At 39.2% G+C, this 27331-nt stretch overlaps 3 protein-coding genes and 1 pseudogene across 4 annotated transcripts in view, besides 1 other annotated feature; 1 reads left to right on the forward strand and 3 right to left on the reverse strand.

Moving 5' to 3' along the window:
• OR51B5 (olfactory receptor family 51 subfamily B member 5) overlaps positions 1 to 27331 on the reverse strand; it is a 165335-nt gene that overhangs the window by 89280 nt on the left and 48724 nt on the right. The gene's annotated exons all lie outside the window — the stretch shown is intronic.
• OR51K1P (olfactory receptor family 51 subfamily K member 1 pseudogene) lies at positions 1059 to 2005 on the reverse strand (annotated as a pseudogene).
• OR51I1 (olfactory receptor family 51 subfamily I member 1) lies at positions 10973 to 11917 on the reverse strand. The gene has a single exon (NM_001005288.3). It carries the CDS (start codon positions 11915 to 11917, stop codon positions 10973 to 10975), a length of 945 nt encoding a protein of 314 aa, NP_001005288.1.
• OR51I2 (olfactory receptor family 51 subfamily I member 2) lies at positions 19726 to 26921 on the forward strand. The gene is made up of 2 exons (NM_001004754.3): positions 19726 to 19767; positions 23662 to 26921. Exon 2 carries the CDS (start codon positions 23892 to 23894, stop codon positions 24828 to 24830), a length of 939 nt encoding a protein of 312 aa, NP_001004754.1. The 5' UTR covers positions 19726 to 19767; positions 23662 to 23891; the 3' UTR covers positions 24831 to 26921.
• Positions 22835 to 23408: an enhancer, noted in NCBI's record as "NANOG hESC enhancer chr11:5473662-5474235 (GRCh37/hg19 assembly coordinates)". NCBI's record gives its function as "activates a minimal SCP1, AML or CMV promoter by ChIP-STARR-seq in naive H9 embryonic stem cells {active_cell/tissue: H9 hESC(naive)}" and the evidence as "EXISTENCE:reporter gene assay evidence [ECO:0000049][PMID:30033119]".

The following is a 27331-nucleotide window of genomic DNA, read 5'->3' on the forward strand; positions in this document are numbered from 1 at the left end:
GTTTGCAGGAAGCCTAGGCAAACATGGGCAGATGCAGAGGGGAGGGGACCCACTAGACCCATGATTATGGGGCTGAGGAAGGGGCAGGATGGGGAACAGATAAGAATAAAAGCACCACATGCACGGTAAAGCCACAGAAGCATGAAAGGAAGGGAGGAAATAGAAAAAGGGTATAGCCAGGAACAGTGATATCAGACTTATTTGCCAATAAGTGTTTATCTAAAATTGAGCCTGGGATTCTACTAAAGAAGAATTTGCTGCTTTTGCTGAGATTCTTAGAATCTGTAGCCTGGGCATTGTGACATTGTTCATATTTTATTTCATGCTTCAGTTGAGGTCTTTTGGTCAGCTGTTCATTCTCAGAGTGTCGGTACATAAATTCTGGGTGTGAGACCACTGGACAGCAAGTTTTAGGAAGAGTCTCTTTTCTTACATAACAAGAAGTTGCTTCATAGGTAAATGTAAACAAAAATAAACAATTTATTGTTTGATCAAGAACATTTTTGAGAGTAAAAGAAGGTAACATTAATAATAATGCTAAGGAAAACAGATGTAAACCATGAATATCTGGAGAAAACCAGAGAGCATGCTCACCTTACTCAAAGACATGTTCCTAGGATAATATTTTTTTAATTGGAAGATATGGTTAGGTAATCCCTACCTAACCCATAAAAATAGAATTTTGCTTTATTTAAATTTAAATTTCATTAAGTCTCAAGTTTTTACTGTTAACTTACTATTTGTCAGGCTTTTTTGCTAGGAGTTTTGAGAAAATGAGGAAAAGGAAAATCCATTACTTCTGCCCCAAAGTCACCATATCTGGTTAGAAGAGAAAGTCATGTACATGTGCACACACAGAGACACACATACACAAATAAAATGTGAGATGGAAAGGGTTAGGAATAACTCTTGCATTTCAGATTCAAGCCTGTTGCAATACTTTGAATTCCTTGTTCCTATTCCTCCTCAAAATGCCTAATGTAGAGCTTTGCCCATAGCAGAAACATTATCGGAATTTATGAATTTAATGACAGTTCCTGACTCCTTGCAGTGATTCAGAGCAATTCCCTCTTGCAGGAAAACAAGGTGAGAATTCCCTGTCTTATTGTCTGGGTCTTAACACTATAGATGATGGGATTAAGTACAGGTGGCACCAAAAGGCAGATGCTAGACATAAGTGTGTGGACAATGGGAGAAGCATGTTTGGCAGCACGATGCATCACAGACACCCCAATCATGGGCACATAATATATAAGCACTGCACAAATATGTGACACACATGTGTTGAGAGCCTTCCACCGTCCCTCTCCAGAAGCAATGCCCATCACTGTATAAAGAATCAAGACATAAGAGACCACGATAAGCAATGAGTCCAGCCCGAAATTTGCGAGAACAATGGCTAAGCCCAGGATGCTGTTGAGTTTAGTATCTGCACAAGGCAGCTGGATCAGATCTGAGTGGAGGCAGTAGGAGTGTGAGAGGACATTAGTGTGGCAATAGGGCAGTTGCCTCAAAAGGATTGGAAGTGGGGCCATGAGTGCCACACTCTTCAGTGTAATGCCCAGACCCATGCAGATAATACGGGGCAGGGTCAGGATGGCTGTATAGCGCAGGAGGTTGTAGATGGCTACAAAGCGGTCATAGCTCATGGCTAGTAGGACCCCTGACTCCATGCAGGAGAAGGTGTGAATGAAGAACATCTGGGCCAGGCAGCCATCAAAGTCAACTCTGTGGGCATCAAACCAAAGAATGCCTGTAACAGTAGCAGTGTAGACACAGAGACGCCCACCTCAGTGACAGCCAACATGGAGAGAAATAAGTACATGGGCTCATGTAGGGCAGAGTCTTCCTGCACTGCTGCCATAATTAGGATGTTTCCCACAATGGCCACAATGTACATGGTGAAGAAAGGGATGGAGAGCCAACCATGTTGGGCCTCCAGTCCTGGGATGCCAGTCAGGAAGACAGATAGGAGGTCAAGACTTTCATTGCTTTCAGCTCCCATGCCACCAACAGCAGAGATCAGTCTTCGCCTGCCATTTGAAAAAAACTGAAGTTAGTCCCCAACCGTTGGATCTTCTGCCTTAGCGGCCAACCTGAAAAGTTGAAGAAAGGAGATGGGGCAGGAAGCAAGAAAGTTGGAGTCATCTACGTCATTCTGAATAAAAGTATAACAGACATCCTCTTCTCTCCTCCTGTTCTCCTGAGTTCCAGAATCCTAAATGTTACTTGGAAAAGAGATATTTCAGACTGCTCCATCTTTTTAAGTTTTTAAAAAAGTTTTAAATACTTTTTATGGATGCATAATATTTGTACATATTTATGGGATACAAGTGACATTGTGTCACATGCATAAAATGTATAATCGTCAAGTCGAAGTACTTAGGATATTCATCACCTTGAGTGCTTATTACTTCTATGTGTTGGGAACATGTCAAATTCCTCTCTTTTAGCTACTTTGAAAAATATGCATTGTTGTTAACTCTAGTTACCCTACTCTGCTATCAAACATTAGAACTAATTCCTTCTATCTAACTATGTGTTTATAGCTATTAACCAGCCTCTCCTATCCTTAACACACATGCCTTTCCACCCTCTGGTGATTATCATTCTACACTCTACCTACATGATATCAACTTTTTTAGCTCCCACATTTGAGCAGGAACATGCAATATTTCAGACTGCTCAATCTTGTGAAAGACAGCATAGCTTAAAAATTAAGAGCAGAAACTTTGGAATAAATAAATCAGACCTGAGCCAAAATCCATACTCAGCCAGTTACTAGATGTGTGATGTGTTCAACTTATTTATACTCTGATCCAAAATTTTATTTTGTTTTTGTTTGGCTTGGTTTGAGTTTTAACTTGTGACATGAATGTAATAATACTATTCTTTCTGGTTGTAAGAAAAAATGAGAAAATTAATGTCACATATTCAGTATTTTGAACTAAAGTCTTTCAGAATCCATTTGCAGAGCTTCAAATTACTGAACATGTGACATTAATTTTCTCAGTATCTCTACCTGTAAACTGGGGATTAAAATACACTTGCTTTTTAGATTTTTTGTAGGATAAGCAAGATATTACATGGGATATTGAGTAAGATATTTTATTCTTAGAGAGACACTAGGACCCAGAGAGAAAAATTGAATAACAGGCCACAGCTTAAAAGTCAGTTTCTGCAGAGCCTAGATTACAGTTTAGATTCATGATCTTCTCTTGTAGTAAGGTTACCAATTTCACTATGGAGATGAGAGTAAACTGTGGTCTGATCTAGGTTGGAGTCATCAGAAAGAACTGAGTTTTAGCTTTGACAACGTGAACCTTAGAAGGGAAGAACCCCTAGTAAAGATCATCTCCATGTATCCCCATTCCACCTCAGAGAGGGAAAAATGTTTTGAATGAAAGTGAGACTATGGTTTTAAAAAGCTGAAAAAGGGAGAAATAGGAATATGGACAATGAAGGATATAAACATTTCAGGTGAAAATTATGCTAATACACAAGTTACCTCTGAGTTAGAAACAAACAGAGTTTAGGAAAACTATCAAAGATGTAGTGGCTTCTAAAAGACCATATTTAACCAAGAATATATGCAAAGATGAAAACAAAGACACAGAGATACAAGACTCCTTCAGTGGCCATGAGATCAGAGAGAAATAGCTAATCCCAGTCAGAAGGTTGAAATAATATATAATGTAATATAATACAATGTAACATAGTTAATGTAATATAACAAATTAAATTTATAAAATCAATTTTTAAAGACAATAACAGTGAAGTAGGAAGGGGTGCTCATGACTGGTATAAAAACTGAATTACTTCCAATCACCAGTTCACACATTCACTCAACAGATTTGATGTATGAGTCAGTGATCCTGCACCAATTCTTTATCCTCTGGTTACCCAGTGTTGATGTGAAATTGTTCATACATCTGAAAAGTTTAATAAAAATGCCCTGCTGGAATAAATGTATGGTCAGGAGAATGTACTGTCAAGGGAATACAAAGAGCTATGACCTCCAGGAGTCATACCAGCCTGGGCAACATAGCAAGGCCCCATCTGTACTAAAAATTAAAAATTAAAAAATTAGCTGGGCATGGTGGCACATGCCTGTAGTCCAGTTACTTGGGAAGCTGAAGCAGAAGAATCACTTGAGTCCAGGAGTTCCAGGCTGCAATGAGCTATGATTGCACCACTGTACTTCAGCCTAGGCAACAGAATGAGATCTTACATCTAAAAATGAAAAAAAAAAGAACTATGACTATGGAGACAAGAGCAATGTAATTATGAGAATGATCCTAGGTCCTGCATTCTCTTACTCTCTACACTCTTCATGCACCAGCTCTGCTGAACTCTGTCCTCTCTCAAAATTAATGACTTTCCTGACATGTGAAATGTGTTTCCTTGTGCCTCTTACCAATTTATTTATCTTGAGTCTACCTTATTGATCAGCGGTTCTCAACCTTTGCTATGCATCAGAATCACCTGAAGAACTTAAAAATCCCAGTGCTCAGGTAACACCCCATACCGATTAAAGTAGAATCTCAGGGTGTAGTACCTAATTATCAATGTTTTAAAGCTCCTCAGATGAACCCAATGTTGAGAACCACTCCAGATTCATTTTGTAACATTCCAGCCCCTTTACAGTGACAGCATTTTAGACTAAAATGAAATTTGCAAGCTCTCCCTGTCTCCCTCCATGACTTTCAGATAACTTTCCTACTCCACTCTGGACCTACAAGTTAAACATTTATTTGTGTTTCATCATCCACTAGACCACTCAGCATCCTGAAGCTCCTCTGAATTGACTTGGATTTGCTTATAACACTCCAGGGTGGTGCCCACAGATGTAGCCTAGGTTTTGGGGCTAGTGCACCTCTCTAGAGGGTCACTTAAGGGACAGAAGGGCTTGGCAGGACTCTTTTGAATCTGTCTAATTATCTCTCCTGAAGATCCTGACCTGCCTCACCTGAAGATGCTGGTCCCTGGTAAAGCATCATCTTCAGCAGGAAGTAAGAATCAAGACTTCGAAGGACCATGAAAAGAGGAACATGCAGGACAGTGAAAAGATTGGCAACGTCAAGGAGACCATAGCTCAAAAGATTAACTCAATCTGTGGATGGAAAATGACAACCAGAGGGGCAATTTCTTCACTCCTAAGATGCCTTATTTCAATCTCATAACAGCCATATCAAGTGACTTGCCTGAAACCCGTAAGTGGCTGATCTGGGACTAGAATCTAGTTCTTCCAATTATAAGTCCCATGGTCTTCCCTATAAAGGCCAGCAGCCAACCTTCTGAAGCAAAAGACATCTAAATGAGAAAAATGGGAAGATGCTGGAGAAGTCGGTTATCTTTATTTTTCCAGGCAGAGAAAAAGACTGAATGGCAGATAGATTTTTTTTCTAGCCTCCTACGCAAACTGGAGGTCAGGTGGTGGGGAACAGGGGTTAAGTCACCTTTGAAAAATAGCCCCATCTCAAAAGGCTATATATTCAGTGATAAACTTAATAGGCTCTCTAGAATCTGAATCAAGAGTCCAATCTTGTACCCACTGAGAGAATGTCCATCTTTATACAATTGTCACCCATGCTCAGCATCAGCATTCCCAGTGATGGGGAGTTTATCGCATCCCTAAACCACTATCCTGGACAGATCTCATGGATATGAAGTGCTTTCTCACATTGGTCTTAAACGTGCTTTCTCTACATTATAGATAATGTTGCAGACTCAGAGACATAATAATCTTCATCAAGTATTAACTGAATATTGCTCATGGAATATGTTATTTTCTTGCAGAACACTTATGTTAATTTGTAAACATGTATGTACTTGTGTAATTATCTAATGTCTGTATCCCTACCAGACCATAAATTCTAAGAAGAATGGATGATATTGACTGTTTTTGTTTGTCTGTTATCACTAGATAACCCATACTAGCACAGGGTCAAATACCTAACAGATGCTTAATAAATATTTTAACTGGATGAATAAATAACTGAATAAATAGTATCTGAGGTTTCCATGGTGATATCCTGTAATCTTTCCTTCTTCTCTTAACCTGTCCTAAATCCCTTTAGCTATTTCTCCAAGTGTCTGACTTTTAATTTCTGCACCACAAAAGTCCTCCTGTCAGAGTGACCAATCAATAGTCCAGTGTAATATGAATCAGCAGTGTGATATATAGCTTAAAACAAATCTGTAGTTTTTTCTAACACTATTTAGCAGAAACAATAACTTTCTTATCTGTAACTTTGTAATACTTTGTACAGACTTTTTCTATTTTATTAAAATTACATTTATACCTCCTTCCTGTCAGATTTTGAGCTCTTTTAGGATCAGACTTGTGCCTGGTTCATCCTGTCCTTCTCAACACACGACATGATTCTGACACAAAGATATGCTAAAAAAATCATTAATGAATAAAAGATGAATATACTACTTAGGCTGTAACTGAAGTACCTTCAGTTTTTGGTTCTCTATTCTAAATAGGAGTTAAACTGACTGCATCACACGCAAAAAGTAAAGGGAATTAAGTCACATTAAGGACACTGAAGGAATGAGTGATGCTTCATTTTGACCAGAGGAGACTGCAGTAGAGACGGGTTGGGATCAGTATGACAGGTGCTGAGCCATAGGTGGAGATCACAGGGTGACAGTCTGGGGTTCATGTAAGAAACACTTTTCTAAAATCACAATGAAATAATAAGCTTCTGGGCAGTGAAGGTGTTCAAGCAAAGACTGGATAACTCTTCATGAAAGTTCTGGAAGGAGAATGTCAGCATCTGCTGAATCGAGGTTAATGGTCTTTCAGCTCTCTTTCTGCTCACAGGCCTGAGATTCCAGACTCGCAAGGTGTCTCCTATTCAGTGACAGAATCTCATGTCTGTGGATCTGTGTGGGACAGAACAGAGGCAAGTTCTCAACCCCTGCTGTGTGATCACCCATGTGTCTTTCACTGCTAAAGCAGTCTCTGGCAGCTTTATCTGAAAGTGGCTGGCAGACCATGAGGGTATTTGAATGAATATTGTTCTTTCTATAGAAAACCTATGTAAAAGTGAGGTTTGAGGATTTTTAAATTGTGCACAACTATGCAAACATACACAGGCATTGATAGAGATTCACTCAAAGATACAGAGGCATGATGAGAGAATCTGAGAGAAACATACAGAAGCACAAGCAGAATTGTAGCTAGAAACACACTTATTGTATACATACCTCAAAGACACAGACTGATCAAAGTGTCTTGATCACCTTGAGGGAGCTTTGTGAAGTGTGAGTTGGACTGAGAGGCAGAGGACCAGAACTCACAATGGCTCTAGAATGGACCTCAGGTGGGCACCAGCCAAGAGAGGAGGCTGCCTTTATGCCTCTGCGGAATTGTTCCCAGATGCCAGAGCCCCTGGGGTCCTGCTTTGCCTGAGTGTGATGCTGTGCTGGTATTGGGGAAAGGAGGAGGGTTAGATCTTACCTTGGGAATAAAAAGATAAGAAAAAGCAAACAAGAAACTACTTCACCTGGAGATACTGCCCTCTCTCCACTGATAAAATGAAATTTCAACTCCTTCCTTATAATGATGAAGTTGGAGACAAATTCTCCAAACTTCATAGCAACACCCCCCACAGTTATCCAGTCTCAAAAGTGCAACTCTGTGCTCAGAACCCACAGTCTAGATCCCTGAATTCTGAGCTTAAAACTCAGATCTCAGGCAAAACCTAAAGCTTAGATTCCAACGGGAAAATTCCAGAGCTCACATCTCAGAGACTGGAGCTTGAAGGCCAGAGACAACCCCAGGATTTAAGCCAGAGAGGATATGACCTGACTGCCTCAATCCACTTAGTCCTACACTTCCCTCCTGAACTCCCACTCCCATGGTCTGCCAAGTTACTACAAGTTAAGGGTCTCCTCCAAAAGAAACATTCCAGGATACTGAAGGACCATGGGTTCAAAATCATACAGACCTAATTTTAAGTCCTGGCCTTGCCACCTGATTTTAGAAGATTAACATTCCTTTAGTTTTGAACCTGATTTATAAAAAAGGATAGCACCTAACTACAAGGGATTGAGATTCAAATGAGAAGAAGGAAGTCATAGGTTTGTTTCTTTTTATTGAATTTATCACACATGCTAGTTATCGTTAAGTTCTCTTGCGGGTTTTGATTTCAGGTCTCCCAAACAGATTCTTTTTCCCAACACCTGAACTTCCCATTAAATAATCCATTTTACTTCTTGTTCATCTCAGTTTTAGAGTGAGGGTGTATTGAGAGAAGGAACAGCAGGAAGGCTCTCTCCCTTTTCTATCAAGTGGTGCGATGGTTCAGGGAGGGAAATAGAAGATGTAATGTTCTCTTCCCCATGTGGAGCACTGAAATATCAAAGGAACAGAGGAACAGTGGCAGAAGAACACCTTCTACTTTTCATTATTGTTATAGGATTGGTTGGATCAAAAATTATGCGTTGGGAACCAGGAGATGAAATTCAGGAGTAATCATGAATCATGACCTTGTAAGTTAGGTCACAGAATCATGGACAAAGAAGGAAACAAATGATGCCTCATATTGGGCATAAATCTCTGGCAAGGAGAGGCAGGGCTTTGAGAAGTCATGATGTAAAATGACTCTAGCTATGTTATTAGAGGCAGCATGAAGGGGAACAAACCTGGAGATACTGCCCTCTCTCTCCACTGAGAAAATGAAATTTCAACTCCTTCCTTATAATGAAGAAGTTGGAGACAAATTCTCCAAACTTCATAGCAACACCCCCCCCCAGTTATCCAGTCTCAAAAGTGCAACTCTGTGCTCAGAACCCAGAGTCTAGATCTCTGAATTCCGAGCTTAAAACTCAGATCTGGATCTAAACATCAGACTGGATCCAGTTTTTTCATTCATTTAAATAGTTGTTTGGTTATTCCCTTAATTCACATGTACTGGTGTGACCAACTCTGTGCTGAGTGCAGAGTTTTAGCTTGGACTGCCATTATCTATTGCTCTTTTTTAGATATTTAAAATGTCTTTTTCCAAACTCAGTTTCTGCCTCCATTAAATGAGGGCATAAGTCAAGAAAAACTCTAAATATTTGTTCACTCTGATAATGGTAATACTAAACAAAACATCCATGCAAATCTCAAGACGAGGGCTTATTGTATTAAACGTCATTTGTGGGGAAATTTTGAAGCTTTCCTCCCCACAACAAAGCTTAAATAGAGAAATAAATATATCCTGTGGAGTGGAAGTTAAACTTTTAACAATGGAGCAAAGCAGAGATAGACGCAATCTGCAGGTAAACGCTTGGTAAACAAAAATACAACCAGATTAAACATATCCCATCTAAAGAGGGAAGAAGTTAATAGACTGCAGAAAAGAAAAAGAGTTAATAGATTTGCAGAAAAGTCTCCGAAGACTTCCTGATCAGGAGACTTGTGTACAGTGAAGTTCCATTGACAAATTTCTCTTGCCTAACCATCTCAGTATGACAATCAACTGTTCTTTCTCTCTCTCTCGTCCTCTCTCTCTCTCTCTCTCTTCCAGTTCTATTTGCCTGAATGGGAGCCCTAAAGTTGGAGTTTGCCTGAATTTTCAATGTCAAGTAGTTTGGCATGACAGGAGGTAGGAATTGAGGGAAAAGAAGGAAAGCACAATATGGGATTATGACTGTGGGGTGGCTGGAAATTGTGTATCAAATTCTCCTCTGAAGCTATTTCTGTCTTCCACCTGCACTGTCTCATGGAGATATTAAGGTTATAAATCTACTCTACTTCCCTTCACCAACAATACCATATGCTTAATTGTGATACACTGAGTTTCCCACTTTAAAAGTCATTCACAAGTTTACTTCAGCAATCTCTCAAGACCTTGTGCCCCAGTGTCCCAGTTGGAAACTCCCCGTTTGTCTAAACAGTTATCTGTAACCAATATTCTAGGTTAAAAGTTCTCAACCTTTAATAGATATGGAAATAACTTGCAGAATGTATTAAAACACAAACTTCTTGGTCTCACTCCTGATAGTTTTTTGTTCAGATGTCTAAAGAAAGTCCTCAGAATTTGCATCTCTAACAAGTTTCGATGCAAAGCTGATGATATTGATCTGGAAATCATATATCGAGAACCACTTTTCCAAACTCTTGTTAATCATGAGTTTTGTTACTCTTGTTGCACAGCAGATGGGCATCAATCTAATACCTGAGTGCTGTCAGAAAAGAGAAACATTGTCCTTCTCAAGGTATAATCACCCAAGGTTCTTATCAAAAGCAGTTCTCATTCAGTAGGACTTATGTGGGGCCTAAGAATCTGTTTCTCTATAAAGCTACCAGAAATGTCAATGATATTGTTTAGTAGACCATACTTGGAATAGTACTGTTCTAAACGTTTCTGCCTAAGTGTTTCTTCTCAGGCAATTATCTCTGCCAAAATCAGTACCCTTCTTTCTTCCTGCCATCCTGAATCAAGAATTCTAACTTCTCTCATCCTTCACAAGCTACTTCATAACCACTCAACATAGCCTGTTTTTATTACCACAAACAAAGTAGATCTTCTCTCTTGCATTAAATACAAAGCCTCCATATATTTTGTCTCTCTTTAATATTTATTATCTCCTTCACTCTGGGCAGGAGCAGAATTATTTTTGATAAATTCTGTTTGCCCTGCTGAACTTCATTATTCCCGTATATGTCAAACAAGAATTTTTCAGGATACCGATGGCTCTTTTTTATATTTTCTCTTCACATGTCTATCTGGTTACTTGACAATATTTCATACTCACCATTATAACATGCCTAGTAGCAACTAGCACAATAATTTTCACATAAGTATTGAATAAATATGTATGCCATTTTATAGTCAAATATTATTTTATTAGTGATACATTCACTACTATCAAGATCCTGGGTCCTCTTCATCCTTACTTTAGCATTCCTTAAGTTGTTAACATGTCCCAATCCTTCCTCCAAAGGAGCTTTTGGGGCCTTCAGCCTTCCTCAGGCCTGGGATTTATGGAAGAACTTGAGAATCCCTTTGCGGATCTCCTTGGTTTTCACACTGTAGATGATAGGGTTGAGCATGGGTGGTACAAACAGGTAGACATTGGACATCATGACATGAACAACAGGTGGAGCACTTTTCCAGAAGCGGTGAATCATGGAGACAGCAATTATGGGCACATAAAAGGCCAGCACTGCACAGATGTGTGACATGCAGGTGTTGAGTGCCTTGAGCCGCTGTTCCTGGGATATGATGACCAGCATGGCTCTCAGGATCAATGCGTAGGAAAGCAGGATGAAAGTTGAGTCCATACCATAGGTAAAAATGATCACCAAGAGCCCATAAATGTTGTTAACATGGATGTCTCCACATGCTACTTTCATGAGATCTGGATGGAGACAGTAGGAGTGATGCAAAACATTGCCTTTGCAGAAGGGCAGTCGTTTCACCACAAAAGGGAAAGGGAAGAGAGTGGTGAAACTCTTGGTAAGGATGCCCAGACCCATAGCCAATATACGGTTGTGAGTGAGCACAGTGACATAGCGTAATGGATAACAAATAGCCACAAAGCGATCCAAGCTCATGGCCAGCAGTATGCCTGACTCCATGAAGGAGAAAGTGTGGATGAAGAACATCTGGACCAGGCAAGCATTAAACGCAACATGGTTGTAGTTGAAGCAGAAAGTAGAAATCACAGTGGGAAGTGTAGAAAAGGACACTCCCAGATCATTGAGAGCGAGCATAGAGAGGAAGTAGTACATGGGCTGATGCAGAGCAGGCTCCCAAAACACCAGAGTGAGAATGCTGAGGTTACCTACAATGGAGATCATGTAGAGGATGCAGAAAATCAGGGCAACCCAGGTGAGGCCTGTTTGTATCCCAGGAATGCCTGTCAGCTGGAGTGTTGCTGGCTGGAAGGGGGTGCCATTGAGACCCAGCATGGTGGGAGAATATAGATAGGGAATGGACCCAAGAGGGTGTGTTGGGAAACTTCTTCACTTTCTTTCAGATATCCTGTCTCCAACAAAAGGTCATAGATTGAAAATGATTGCCTGTATTCCTGCCTTCCCAGTAAGACACTCATCTCTTTAAGGAAGCAACCGGGTTCTAATCGTTTGTGTACCACCAGGGCCCTGCTCACTATCTAGGCCATAGTAGAAACTCTGTGGTTTGATGATCAAATGAGTGCCCATAACATAGCAAGGCATAATAGGAGACAACATTAACAATTGCTTCTGGTAGACCAGAAAGAGGAAATGCATCCTAGGCTTTGGAAAGTCTTTGGTAGATAGCATAGATGGAACATCTACTACTATAAATTTACAGATTCAATAACCTGTAGCTCAGACTTCACCCCAGCCTCCCAATCCCAATGGCTGCCCCTGAACTTGTCATAGCCAAAAACTTTTCTATCCCTGAAATCCTAAATTTACTGTTTTCATATCCTTACTCTAGGCTTCTACCTTCCAACCTTCTCATGCCCGTGCACTTGCTCTTGAGTCTCCATGATTCCCCCATTTTCCTCTGGTCTATGAACTCTTCTTCCTCACTTTTCTCCTGAACTACTCACCCACACTAAAACTGGTATTTTCATCTCCTCTTTATCTCTCTTTCACCTTCATATAGTAAACTGCAACCTTTAATAAATTCTACAATCAAACCAGGTATGCAGCTGGATAAAACCAAAGAAGAAAGTATTTTATGGGAATAAAAAAAGAGAAAATTATTACTTAACCATTACCAAAATTTTAAACTTATACACACCTTTATTCATTCTTAACCTCTATTTTCTGAGAAAGAGATTTCTCTCCTTCTCCAAGGACAGGCTCTCCACCTTCAGGATTTCATTTCTTGTCACTCCTTCAGAGCCTTTTTCACTAATCCAGTGGATATTCATTCTCTCCCTTTCTGCCTCTTTTCCTTCAGACAATAAGTATGTGCAAGACTATTCCATCATAAAGATGCGATAACATTCTTCTCTACCCACCACTCTATGACCCTTTCCCAATTCTTAACCAAATTTCTTGAAAAATTGTCTCTCCAGGTACCTGAAAATAGAAGCTTGTATTTTATCATTATTATTTTTTAGTTATTTGCCTGCTTCTCCAGCTTGTTTCTGAGATCTTCGATGTCGGGATTCAATCTTACTTACATTACCTTCTATCACTGCTCAATTCATTATATCGTGGCTTCCACACTCCCCTCCTCTGAGTTGAAACAAATTTCTCTATGGTCACCTAGTGACCTCTTTGTCTCTGAATCTAATGAAAACATTCTCTCTCCTAATTCACTTGATCTTCTTGCTACAGTTAACACTGTCTTTAACTCACCTGTTTAGAACCACCTTCTCCATTCAAGGGTACTATTTGTCCACAATTGTATTTCTTCCTTGGCTTCTCCTTCTCTGCCTTCTTTACTGAATTATCTTTTCTGTCTTTTTTTTAAGCAGCCTCAGCCTAACTTCAGGCAAAATAAACAATAGTCAGAATGATGCAAACTGAGAAGTCACACCATAAGAGACTTCATCTCAACCTTTATTTAAAATAGCTCTTCTACTATATTTTCATGGTATTTGATATCTCAAAATTAAACCTCCATTCTGGAATTTCAGCATAATGTCTCTTTTATTATTTTTCTCATTTTAGAGTTCCCATTTTATTCCTACCACTCCTCATAAACAGAGTGAAATTAGATGGTGACAAGGTGCTGGATCATATCGAGATATCAGTCATAATCCCAAATATATATAGGTAGTGAGAAGAGATTCATCTATTCCTTTGGTTTCTCTCTCCTCCCAATGAAAAGGCAAAGCATCCATTTAATGAGTAGTGTTTTCTCCTTATGGGCTACTCTCCTTGCTAAACCTCTCTTCCCCTAAACCCACATTTAAAGTCCATGTCTCTAAGAGGTCTTTTTAGATCTAGCCTGTTCAGATCTGTTTTTTTTTTTTCTTTACCTTTGCTGCAAGATTTTCTCTGAGTCATGAAGAAATAAAAAGACTCTTCTAAGAATTCATCCACAAGATAGGTTTACCCCCGTCTGTAACCACTGGCATGCAAATTGAGGTAGTCTAGAAAGTAATATTTTATCTATTTTCCAGATTTTCATCAGTCTACAAAGCAACTTTGAAAACTTTTCCTCCATGGAGAAAATTCCCCACCACCACCCCCAAAACATTTTTTCTTTGCTTTGTCCACAGGAGTGTCCATGAAAACTTCCTAAATGTGACCTATCTTGGAAGGAAGGTCAAGAAGGTGGAGAGACACAAGCAATGCACAGAATATCATGAGCACACACACACACACAGTCACTCAAAGGTACCAGAAAAATATACATTTTTACACTCTTATACTTACACACCCGGTATTTATAGGCACTATCTCATACCCACACATACACACAAACTATCAAACACTCCCCTACTCACACAAAATACTATCATGCAACAACTTAGGAAGACTCATTGGTATTATGCAATATATTTCAAATATTCTCTTATTTTTAAGCTCTCCTGAATAAATGTTTATACACACACAGTGTCACAAATGCATCAGCATTAACAAAACCACAATAATATCTCCACCAATTATTTTCCCATATACATACATATATGCTGACATACACAATACTGAAAATCCAGCTAAGATTGACAACTACATTGTTAAATGACTTCAGTCATTTGGTTCTGTAACTTTTCTCCAGCTGTACACACAAAAGTCAGGTATCAAAGGCAAACATTCAAATCGTAGGCTTTTAAATAAGAAGTATAAAATATCCTTGAGACAAAAATCTATAAATGATGCAGCAGTACCTTAACTCAGTGATATGTGGTTTGGTATTATGGTTTTGATTTAGATGGAAACCTGGCATCAGGTGTCTGTGATCCTGGAGTTTGGAAGGGGTCAGATTTGGCTCACATTTAGAAGGGGAGATATAAGGGTTAAAGGCTGCCTGGAATTTTGGCAAAAGTGTTAAAATTTAGAATAAAATCTAGATAAAGAGGTCAGGTGGGCAGTGTGAAGCAGGGAGCACTCACTGGATGGAAGATGCTTTCCTTGTAGCTGGATATACTATGCTGTGGGTACAGCTGGCAGTGGCATCAGCTCATTCTCCTAAGACTTATAAATTTATGAGCCCTCCAGAACACCAAGTCTTGCTTGTGTGTGGTGGGAGGAGGGACCATGGAAATAACTGGGAAGGTGGTATCAGTGAAGAGTGAGTTGGGCCATAAGAGAATTGCTCCCAGGAGAATATCTTTCTTGGCACAATTATCCCTGATGTAATCATCCATATCTATTAGTGTGTTAATCCTTCTTTGATCAGGGAATGTAAACACACTGCATACATGTATGCACAGAAACATAAATAGCCATAGCTCTCCTGAGACCTTCACAGATACCCCCTTAGACCTATTTAACTATTTATTTACTAACATTCACATTGCCTCATTCAAATTTACATACATACAAACAGATAAATACAAATATACTCAGGCAATTGCCCAGTGCTCTAGTCACTAATTGTATGTATTGTCACATCAAACACACACTATAATCTATGTATTCGTACATTGATTATATAGACCAATTTAAATTATAGACAAAACTTAGAAAAAGACTATGAAATAGAGACTTAAAGAAATGATCAAATATGTTTTAAATACATTTCCCTGCTTAAATAGCTAAAAATATATATTGCAGATACATATTCACATTCTCATTAACAAGTCAATAAAATATCCAACAAATTCAGATCTCCATATTTATTCAGATTCATATGTGGAATTTAAGTGTGTTATGTATTTTTTGTACAAATGCATGCTAGCATCCATGTAACAAATTCCTTATGCAAGCACTCCTTTTACTCCATTACTATATGGAACCTAAAAATTATAATCAGTTTATTCCACCAACCAAACAGATAAAAACAGATTTTTGAGCAACATTTTAGTCTAGATATTATTATCAGCACTTATAGTATACAGACCAATAAAGACGCAGCACCTACCCTTGCAAAGAACATAAATATTTAAAAACTAATCCACCTAACAGGCTAAATGTACCTCCAAGCCCTATCTAGAAATATGTTATAAACATATTTCACAACAAAGCCAATGCATTTATCAAAACTTATCTAGTGTGCATGTAAGACTTGTGCAGTATATGTCTGAAAGAAATCAAAGAACTATACAATGTATTGAACTACAAATAATAATATAACTGCTGAACTATTTATGGAGAAGTGTGTTGTTGTTACAACTTACTTTGAAATGCATCCAAAAGGTGAGCTGTATTGATAAACTAGTAGAAAGATGGATACATCAGAAGATAAATAAGAAATCAAATGCAGCCATAAAAAATGCTGAGTTCATGTCCTTTGTAGGGACATGGATGAAGCTGGAAACCATCATTCTCAGCAAACTATCCCAAGGACAAAAAACCAAACACCGCATGTTCTCACTCATAGGTGGGAATTGAACAATGAGAACATTTGGACACAAGAAGGGGAACATCAGCCACTGGGGCTTGTTGTGGGGTGGGGGAGAGTGGAGGGATAGCATTAGGAGATACACCTAATGTAAATGATGAGTTAATGGGTGCAGCACACCAACATGGCACATGTATACATATGTAACAAACCTGCACTTTGTGCACATGTACCCTAGAACTTAAAGTATAATAAAAATACATACATAAAAAAAGAAAGTAGAATAACTCTCATGAGGTAACCCAAAAAAAAAAGAAATCAAGGATAATAAAATATTCATGGTAGAATTTAGGTCATAAGTATACTGGTATTCACTGTGAAATTCTTTCAAGTTTTCTGTGTTTGAAATTTTTCATAATAAAATGTTGGGAAATTTTTAATGAAAAAAGGATGAAGCAAGACATAGTCTATTATGCCATGTTCAAAACACCAGTGAAAATTCAAACTAATACAAGTGATATCAATGTCCTTTAAACTAACCCCAAGCATCTTTTATATCAACTCAGTATTTAGCATGTTATGGGATAAATTTTACGTATTTGACATAATTGATATTTTTATATGACTAAAGAAAAGAATCAAATTTTTCAGTTGAAGCTATTTTGCCAAAGATTAACTACTTATGTTCAACAAATAAACATTCCCTGCCATGCCTATATCCCATTCTAGGGACATCTATTTCTTCCCCCACAGGACTCTCTGTCCAGTGGATGCCACAGAAACATGCAGAGCCAACTATAATAGAGTGTGATCACTGCCTTCATGGCAGAACTGAACAGTGTTGTGAAGAAAAGAGGCATTGATCCTACTTCAGTGCGTAAGGTTTTAGGGATATGGGGATATAAATCGTGTTTGATAGTGTACCTGCCAGAAGTAGTTCCCAGAGAAATCTGGGCATCTGGCTTTAAGGGAGAAGATCATTTTGTACAACAGAATCTCTACTCCCTAGAACTCTAAAACATCAATTACTTTCATCTTTCATGGACTACAACAAGTTGATGCTTTGCATGGTGCTGACCATGAAAATGAAAGCCCCTAGGAGATCATGTATCTCACAATGATAATAATACAATAAGAATGAGGCTAACAAAATGTGCTTCTGTTCTGTACCAAGGCTAAGCCTGTTTACCCTCAAGTCCACTCCTGACTCTTTTGTGACTCTTTATATCACACCTATCCAATCATTACTTGAAGAATATGATGGATACAGCTGGTTGGGAAGCATTGACAGATGCAAGGTATCTCTCACTCCACTCCCCTGCCTCAGACAGAGTCTCTAGTGTGAGCTGCATCTCTTCTATGGTTCCAGCTTCCACTGGTTGGGCTCACTTTGGCTGTAGTTCTAGTAACCCCACCTTTGGCTTTCCAGTCTATAGGTGGTAGTAGCTTCCTGCTGTTACAAATCTCTGGACTATGTTACTATCTGCTGGTCAGTTCCTCATTTCTTTTGAAATCTGTATAAATAATTTCCAGGATTAAATATATTCAGTTTTTTTGTACTTATTATTATGTTATCACCGCTCAGTCTCAATCCCATATCTTCTATACCATTTTTTGTGATATTGGGATTGAGCCTCTGCAAACTGCATTCCTCCTTTGCCAACCAGCTCCCAAGATCTACAAATATGGGGCATTAGGAAGCTGGGGCAGGAAGAAGGAACTTGTACCCTACTTCCTTTCTGTGGCTCTTTCCCCAGTGGCACTTCTTCACCCAAGTACTAGTGGTTCAATTCCAGTGGCCTTGGTTGGTTATATTTTGAAGCTTTCCAACACTTCTAGAACCAGCCTTACCATGCCCTCTTAAAGACCTCAGAATTAGCCAGATAAGTCTCCCCTCAACCCCCATCTCAGAAGAGTAAGTCCTAGTCATAGGGAACCTCTCTTCTGAATTCTTGAGACCCCAGAATCACCTAAACAGTGACCACTCCTCAAAGTCTGAGTTTCAGCTTTGCAGCACTCCTGTTTCAAATTTGTAAGGTTTAATTATGCCAAATTCCTACCTTTGTTCCTCTAGTCCTAGGCTTAGAAGCTATGTCCTCAAGTTGCTGCCTACAATGATACCTTCATATTCCCTTTTTGTCTTGTGTGTTCGCCAATATTTGGTTAACAATTCATTAATTTTTCTCAATTAAAAGAGCTGGTGTGTTTCTTATATTCTGACCAGACCATAACTGAACCCTAATTTTTGTTCCTAGGTTAGATTGTGACTGATCCATGTGAAGCCAACAGAGTCACTTAATATGATCCACACCCAGTAGATGTTAATCTAAATGAATAAATTAACACTGATAAACGTACCTTTCTGCTCTGATAGCAACATTTAAGGAGAGACTATTGTTGCATTGAGGTAGGGCATTTGTTGTAAAAGCCTGACCATTTCTTGAATGGGGTACAAGCTAGAGAGAGATGGCACGGTGTTGTCTTATGTCCTATCCAAAAGACTGCAAGATTCCACAAGAGCAATCTAGGTTGTGGAAGGAGTTATAAGCAACCACACAGAATAATGATATATTAGCTTAAACCAAGTGGAGAACAAGTAAAAAATGAGAAGAAGCTTCTAAGAATAACCTATGAAAGTAACTGTAAGAAAGAGTCAGCTTTATACATTTAAGAGACCCAGTTAACATGACAACAACTAACTGCAGCACCAATTAATTGTGAACTTTCCATTCCCCCATCTGTCTGTTTCTGGGAGGAGAAGCCAAAAACCAGAGTTAGCACATGAAGGATGAAAGAAGAAGAAAGGATGTAGCTCTGAATGCTGGAAAGTTTGACTATTATTCTAGATTAAACCTTCTAGTTATTCACCAGAAGATATTTTATTATCTGAATGTGACCAGAAAATTTAAAGAACAGAGTTTTCATCCAGGAATAACAAAGAAGAACCAGCCCCACTCAATATATTTAAAGAGACAAGAAGAGTAAAAATAGTCACTTTCTGATTGCACCTCAATTGATGGGCTTGGTCATCATCACATAAAGCCAGAATCTCTTAGGAGGTAATGAGCTCCTCTCTTACAGCGATTGCCTGTCTATCACTAGAAGATGTTTTGAGTGGAGCAGAGAATTGGTCTGACAGATTGCTAAGTTCTTTTTCAGCTAAAAGAGCACAGGCTTTATTCTCAGTAGTTATTATGGACCTCAGGAGACTAAAACCTCCCTGAAGAATTTTCAGACACAAAGTCAGCATCACTGCCCTCTACCGCAGGGCCTGTCATGAGACATAAAAGTGGCAAGGATGAATTCACTTCAGCAGAGACAGGGAAGAACTTGTTCTGTGGGTGTCTCATCAGTCTCTCTTCTGGTGAGTTCTGAAACTCTATAGGAATAAGCCAGCTGATTCTCCTGAAGCCTGCTCCATGAAAGCATTAGACTGGGCAAGGGGTATGGTGAGGGGAAGTGGAAGAGACTGGTGGAGGGTATCTGATAGAAGCATCTTAGTAGAATGAGCAAAGGAGCAGGAAAGATCTCTGGACTTGGGGTTCTTGTTCTGGCACTGCCATGTACTGATTGTATAACCCCAAGCGATTCATTGAGTCCTTACTTGCCATAATCAATTTCTCTGTGACTCCAAGTTTCAAAGGTCAAAGTTTCTGTGGCTCATTAACATTGCTGCAAATTCAGAGAGGGAAGCAGGACTCAGGATACAGGAACGGTTCGGGAATCTAGAAGGGAAGTGGTCACAACCTATCCCATGACAAACAGCTGAAGCACATGTGGTTTAATTTTGCTCTTCCCTTATGAATTCAGTGATAACAAAATACGTAAAAATCTCCAGGATATTAAAAGGAGAAATCAGCTAAACTGTAGATGAACAATGAATAGCTGATAATTTTCATTCTTTATTATCCATGATACAGATTGAAAACTGTGGTCTTTAGACAGCCTTTCTGTACATTCCTCCAGCCTCTACCTTCTTTCTGCCCCCATAACAGCACCATAGCAAACTCTCACAGGCATTCTTTGCTTGATTAAAAAGTAAAATTAAGTAAAAGAACATCAAAGCCATAAAGGATCTCAGAGAATGTCCTTAAAAATAAGACATACACCAGGCGTGGTGGCTCATACCTGTAATCCCAGCACTTTGGGAGGCTGAGGTGGTCAGATCACCTGAGGTCAGGTGTTCGAGACCAGCCTGGCCAATATGGTGAAACCCTGTCTCTATTAAAAATACAAAAATTAGCCAGGCGTGGTGGCAGGCGCCTGTAATTCCAGCTACTGGGGAGGCTGGGGCACAAGAATCACCTGAACCTGGGAGACAGAGGTTGCAGTGAGCCAAGATTGCACCACTGCACTCCACCCTGGATGATGGAGCAAGACTCAGTCTCAAATAAATAAATGAATTAATTAATTAATGAATAAAAATAAGACATAGGTCTAAAAAAAGAAATAGATATTTCTACGCTTATATAGCCAGTACCTTCCAGAGCCAGGGTCAGGACTCCTGACACCCTCGGGGTCCTTTCTTCTAAACCACCTGGTTCCTATATGGTTTCAGAAATCTCAAGGTTCTAGTTCCAGGAATAGGAGAATTTGTGTTCAGCCTTGGAGACAGGTACTTTTGTGTAATTTTTTCTTATGTATCTGCCTTTAACCACTCACTTTGTTTAGGGGTACCTGTGAAATCTTTGTTCAGAAATGCATTCCTCTATTTTCCTTTTAAACTTACTCTCCAATGCCTTAATGATACTTCGAAGACCTTGGTAAGAGAGAAGAGAGTCACTGTTCAACTCCCGCTTATGAGTGAGAGCATGCGGTGTTTGGTTTTCTGTTCCTGTGTTAATTTGCTGAGGATGATGGCTTCCAGCCTCATCCATGTCCCTGCAAAGGACATGACCTGCATGCTCTGCACATGTATCCCAGAACTTAAAGTAAAAAAAAAAGAAAAAGAGAGAAGAGAGTCTTAAAAGTCTTTAAATTAATGTTTTATCACCTGGTCTCCATAAACTGTGAGGAAAGCTCATCTCACTGGCTCTCAGTGTCCATATCTGTTAAGTATTAAACGAGAAAATAAATGTAAAGTTCCTTGCAGAGCAGCTGACATATCACATGCGTTCAATAAGTATTCATTTTCTTTCTCAGTATTACTTTATTCCTATCTGTCCAGACAACCCACAAAATTAGCAATCCCCAAGGTAAGGGAAGGGATATAATTCTGGAACAGTCAGGCAGTCTTTCTTCTACAAATACTAAAGCATAAGTCCCCAGACCCAGAATGGCTTTGGCCTTGCCCTGAACAAAATCCTGCTTTCAGCCTGTTTTCTTCTCCCTTCTCTTTCTGTTACTTTTACATTGGCTTGGTTCTCTTCTATGTACTGTGATTACTTTCTACAAGACTTTATATGAAGAATGAGAGTGTAGTCAAATGGGAGAAATAAGAGACAAACATCAGTTCTGGATCCCAAGTAATCAGAGTTCTTGAAGAGACACAAGCATATGCAGACTGAGCTCTAAGACCAGAAGGGACATATTCAGTACAACACGGAGGGACAGCCACTGCCTTGCTGGAAACCATAGTACCTGTGAGTTATGTATTGCTGGGGATATTTTAAAAATGCTTCCTGGGGTGACAATGCTTCATTGCACCCCATTCCACAACCTCTGTTACTTTTAGATACCTCATATGTTCCTGGGTCCCCTTTCTCCTTCATTCCCATCAGAAAGAACTCTGAGAGCATGGTCCGGTCTTGCTTTGTTAGAGGTTGGAGAGGAAAGAGAAAGGAAAAACAGCGGTATGTAATTCTGGGGTCCTTCTCTAAAATGAGGGTGACCTATTAGCTTGAAATGTCTGCTTAGTGAAAAGCCTTCTAGCCTTCTGTATCCTCATCCACGATGAGGCAATGAACACAAAAGTGTGTCAAAAACAGAATAAACAATACAATCACTGTGACAGAGAAATGGCTGTAAGAAATAATATGTGAATGCCAGCATAAGAAAAATGGTAAATAAATACAAGCCATTAAGGGTTTAAAAAGTGCCTGTGTGGGTTAGTAGATTAATATCAGTGGGCAGTCCCCAAGCATGTAGATAGAAGTGTTGTGTGAGTATACAAATCTATGTGTCTATGAGTGTGTATACATGTATAAATCCTGCATATATGTCAGTGCAGACTGAGAGTATGAGGACAAGATCTACATGTTAAATGGTATAAAGATCAAGAGGGGCCGGGCACGGTGGCTCACGCCTGTAATCCCAGCACTTTGGGAGGCCAAGGCAGGCGGATCACGAGGTCAGGAGATCGAGATCATCCTGGCTAACACGGTGAAACCCCGTCTCTACTAAAACTACAAAAAAAATTAGCCGGGCATGGTGGCGGGAGCCTGTAGTCCCAACTACTCGGGAGGCTGAGGCAGAAGAATGGCGTGAACCCGGGAGGTGGAGTTGCAGTGAGCCGAGATTGCACCACTGCACTCCAGCCTGGGCAAAAGAGAGAGACTCTGTCTCAAAAAAAAAAAAAAAAAAAAAAAAAAAAAAAAAAAAAAAATCAACAGGGACTGTTTGAATATATTTGCACAACAAGAGCGACTTTACGAGATATGGAGATATGGAGAGAGTATGTGAATGAGCGTCTTCTTAGACTATGAATGAGCTTTCTTACTACCTGTTGTGAAGGTACATTAATGTGTCCTTGTGACTAATGGGTATTTTGAGAGTACATCTAACCATGTGATGGTATGTAAGTTTGTATTTGGAACAATGCTCTCCCACACCGAATGCTAGTGTACCTATAGAATATTTAGGGACAAATACATAATTTTTCCAGAAACAGATACAGCCTTGTGCCTTTGCACAAAAATATGTTATTTCTGTTGTTGCTTTTTTGCAGTAATTCTGCCAATGAAAAGCTCATGACTGCCTCTGGAGGCAGTCAATTACCTCCACAGCCCACTGTCCTTTTCCCTCTCCATCCAAGCACACAACATGATACAAAACTTGCTCTGGGAAAGTCTCTCATTAATTTGTGATACATATGAATTAAGCAACATTTTCAAGAAAATATTTAAATATTTCCAAGTGCTACTGATAACACAAACTCCTGACTTTCTTCTCTTGTGGCTATGAATTGTAGTTAGCATATTTCTATTGAATCATGCCTCCAAAATATATGCAAGTTGTAGAAATGTAGTTTAAACATTTTCCTTTTAACTAATTTCTATTATTGAAGTATTTGTCAATGTCTTCCTTGTTCATAAAATAGAGGGAAATATTAGCTCAGCCTGCAGGCTGATCATCATAAAATATGAAGAAAAGGAGTTTGCCTGCATCATCTCAAAAGCAGTGATTTCATGAATGCGTCAGTTTCCATTTATGTCAACATCATCGCTTTGTCTCTTATCTCCTGATTTCTTGTCCTCCAGCAAGTGCAACTGTTAGAATTCTCCAAGTCAGAAGATCTGACTCTGAAAAGTACCCTAAGTTTGTTTTGCTATGGGGTTGTTCAATGTCACTCACCCTGCATTCTTCCTCCTGACTGGTATCCCTGGTCTGGAGAGCTCTCACTCCTGGCTGTCAGGGCCCCTCTGCGTGATGTATGCTGTGGCCCTTGGGGGAAATACAGTGATCCTGCAGGCTGTGCGAGTGGAGCCCAGCCTCCATGAGCCCATGTACTACTTCCTGTCCATGTTGTCCTTCAGTGATGTGGCCATATCCATGGCCACACTGCCCACTGTACTCCGAACCTTCTGCCTCAATGCCCGCAACATCACTTTTGATGCCTGTCTAATTCAGATGTTTCTTATTCACTTCTTCTCCATGATGGAATCAGGTATTCTGCTGGCCATGAGTTTTGACCGCTATGTGGCCATTTGTGACCCCTTGCGCTATGCAACTGTGCTCACCACTGAAGTCATTGCTGCAATGGGTTTAGGTGCAGCTGCTCGAAGCTTCATCACCCTTTTCCCTCTTCCCTTTCTTATTAAGAGGCTGCCTATCTGCAGATCCAATGTTCTTTCTCACTCCTACTGCCTGCACCCAGACATGATGAGGCTTGCCTGTGCTGATATCAGTATCAACAGCATCTATGGACTCTTTGTTCTTGTATCCACCTTTGGCATGGACCTGTTTTTTATCTTCCTCTCCTATGTGCTCATTCTGCGTTCTGTCATGGCCACTGCTTCCCGTGAGGAACGCCTCAAAGCTCTCAACACATGTGTGTCACATATCCTGGCTGTACTTGCATTTTATGTGCCAATGATTGGGGTCTCCACAGTGCACCGCTTTGGGAAGCATGTCCCATGCTACATACATGTCCTCATGTCAAATGTGTACCTATTTGTGCCTCCTGTGCTCAACCCTCTCATTTATAGCGCCAAGACAAAGGAAATCCGCCGAGCCATTTTCCGCATGTTTCACCACATCAAAATATGACTTTCACACTTGGCTTTAGAATCTGTTATTTTGGCCATAGGCTCTCATCAGTAGCATCGTCATCATCATCATCAAAGTATAAGATAGATTGTGTGCTGCGGGAAAAGTAGGCCAGGAGATGGTGATGCAAAACTTATAACACAAAACAAGGAGTTCCAAATGAATAGTACATTCACTAAATACCAACAGTATTCTTAGAAAGATAAATATTGGGGGCAATTGAGTAATTAGACAAGTTTTACAGAGGAAGACTAATTTAAGCTAGGAATTATTTTCTATAATAATGAATATTACTAATATAATAATTAACAAACTTAGTCCTAAAATGTATCAAGTACTATTATAAATTATTTGTGTGTATTAATTCACTTAATATTCATACAAATCCTCTAAGACACAGAGAATTAAGTTAATTCTTCAGCCTAACACAGATAATATGTGGTCCAGTTGACATTCAACACTAATCTCTCTCTAGTGTCAGTGCAGCACCCAACCGGTATAAATATGGCCTGACGGTCAAATTGGCATCATTTAACATTACCATTGCTGCCTTTGCTTTCCCCACCACTGTCATTCTCAAACACTCATACATTGCTTTAACTTCACAAAGTGAAATCAGCTTAACTATTAGAACTCACCATAAAATGTATGAACAAATGTGATCCAGGTAAACTGATAGATATTGCCATTTAGGAAAATCTCCAGATTCTTCTTTACTTCTTTTATCTGCCCACCACTCAATCCTTACCAACAGAAAACAATGTTCAATATCTGAAATATCTGACTCATAGAATTTTGGGGGAAAGGGGGAATTGTGGTAGGGGCACAATTTCTATTTCTCTTTCCTTCTTGAGATTTTAACTGTCTTCCACAAAATGACATGTTAAGAGATGTTAGAAATTAAGTCAGTCTAGGATTTCCAGTTGCAAAAAAAAAAAGCCTAGGATAGACAGACTAGAGCACTTATGGTTTAGATACCAGAAAATAATTCTTTCAGACCTTCTCATACGCTTCCCTTGATACCAGAGGTAGGATATAGTAAGAAATTCCTTGGTGCTAATTTTGGTGCTGTCATACTAAGTTTAGATCTACTTGTAGATCAAAAGAGAGCGAGGGATTGGGGGAGAAAGAAGGGGGGAGAGAGAGAGAGAAAGAGAAAGAGAGAAAGAGAAAAAGAGAAAGAGAAAGAGAGAAAGAGAGAGAGAGAGATGCACTAGGTAGTCTAACTTAACTCACCATGGAAACTCATCCAGAAACCACGTAGTAGCAAAGCATATTGTTATCTAGAGGTTTTTTCTCTTTGTATTGAGGAAATACCAACAAGAGAGAGAGTCAGAAAGAGGGAGCTATTTTAAAAATGAGATAATGTAAGTACTTGGGATTCAGATTTTTTTCAAAAATGTCTACAGGTACAATAAGACACCAATAATATATGTGTCCTGGCCCACTAAATAGATTGCTTTTAGAAGAATGTTTGGATAGCATAACTTAGTATGATTTCCAATGGAAAATTATTAGAATATTTAGTGGTTTAAAGTATGGTCTTCAGTCAATTTAAATAATAACTTTTCTGATTCATATTAGAAGCTCCTATTTCAACATGAAATAATAATTTTAATGCTTTGATATTTTAGTTTCAAATATATACAACAAATACATAAATGCAAAGGCAAGGCTTAGGGAAGCCGCCAAATGAAAGTAAACTCTCACTGATTCCTACCTCAGAAGCAGCGAGGGATACATTCTTTTGACCATAGGCCTTACTTAGAAACCCAATGGTGTAACATAGAAAGGGCAAGGAACAAGAAAATATGAGCCTCCCAAAAAGCCTCTGGCTCCTTTGTACCTTAATTTCACCTTCCTTTTTTCAGCATTAATTAAAAGAGCTACTGATTTTCAGGTTCTAATGGAAAATGCACATTTATATTTTTCCCTCCCTCATGAGACAGATGCCATAAGAAAAATGTAGGGCCACTCCTGCAGCTCTAATCCTAAAAAGGTCTAAGCTAAGCCCTGTTTTTGTTTTTTTGACCTTGGGTTAAAAACTCTTTAACTTCTTTTTATTTAACATAATCTTTTTTGAACTCAACATTTTCCGCTATTGAAACAGCAAAAATACTTGAATTTTGGTCTAAAATAAAGGTAAAAATCAAACTTTGTTTTTGAATTCTTTGGTTACTTTTTCTTTGCTCAACTTTTAATTTCAGGCAGTACATGTGCAGGTTTGTTACATGAGTAAATTGCATGTCACCGGGGTTTGGTGGACAAATTATTTCATCACCCAGGTAGTGAGCATATGACATTTCCTGCCCAAATCTCAGGTTGAAATATAATCCCCATTGCTGAAGGTGGGGCTTGGTGGGAGGTGACTGGATCATGGGGACAGATTTCTCATGCATAGTTTAGAACCATCTTCTTGATGTTGTTCTCATGATAGTGAGTGAGTTCTCATGAAGTCTGGTTGTTTAAAAATGTATGGCACTGCCTACTTCTCTATTAGT

The sequence above is a fragment of the Homo sapiens genome, chromosome 11 (genome assembly GCF_000001405.40).
Source record: "Homo sapiens chromosome 11, GRCh38.p14 Primary Assembly".
Lineage (NCBI taxonomy): Eukaryota > Metazoa > Chordata > Mammalia > Primates > Hominidae > Homo > Homo sapiens.

Excerpts from the sequence above, each read along its gene's own strand:
- OR51I2 (NM_001004754.3), top strand. The coding sequence starts at position 23,892 with ATGGGGTTGTTCAATGTCACTCACCCTGCATTCTTCCTCCTGACTGGT.
- OR51I1 (NM_001005288.3), bottom strand. The coding sequence starts at position 11,917 with ATGCTGGGTCTCAATGGCACCCCCTTCCAGCCAGCAACACTCCAGCTG.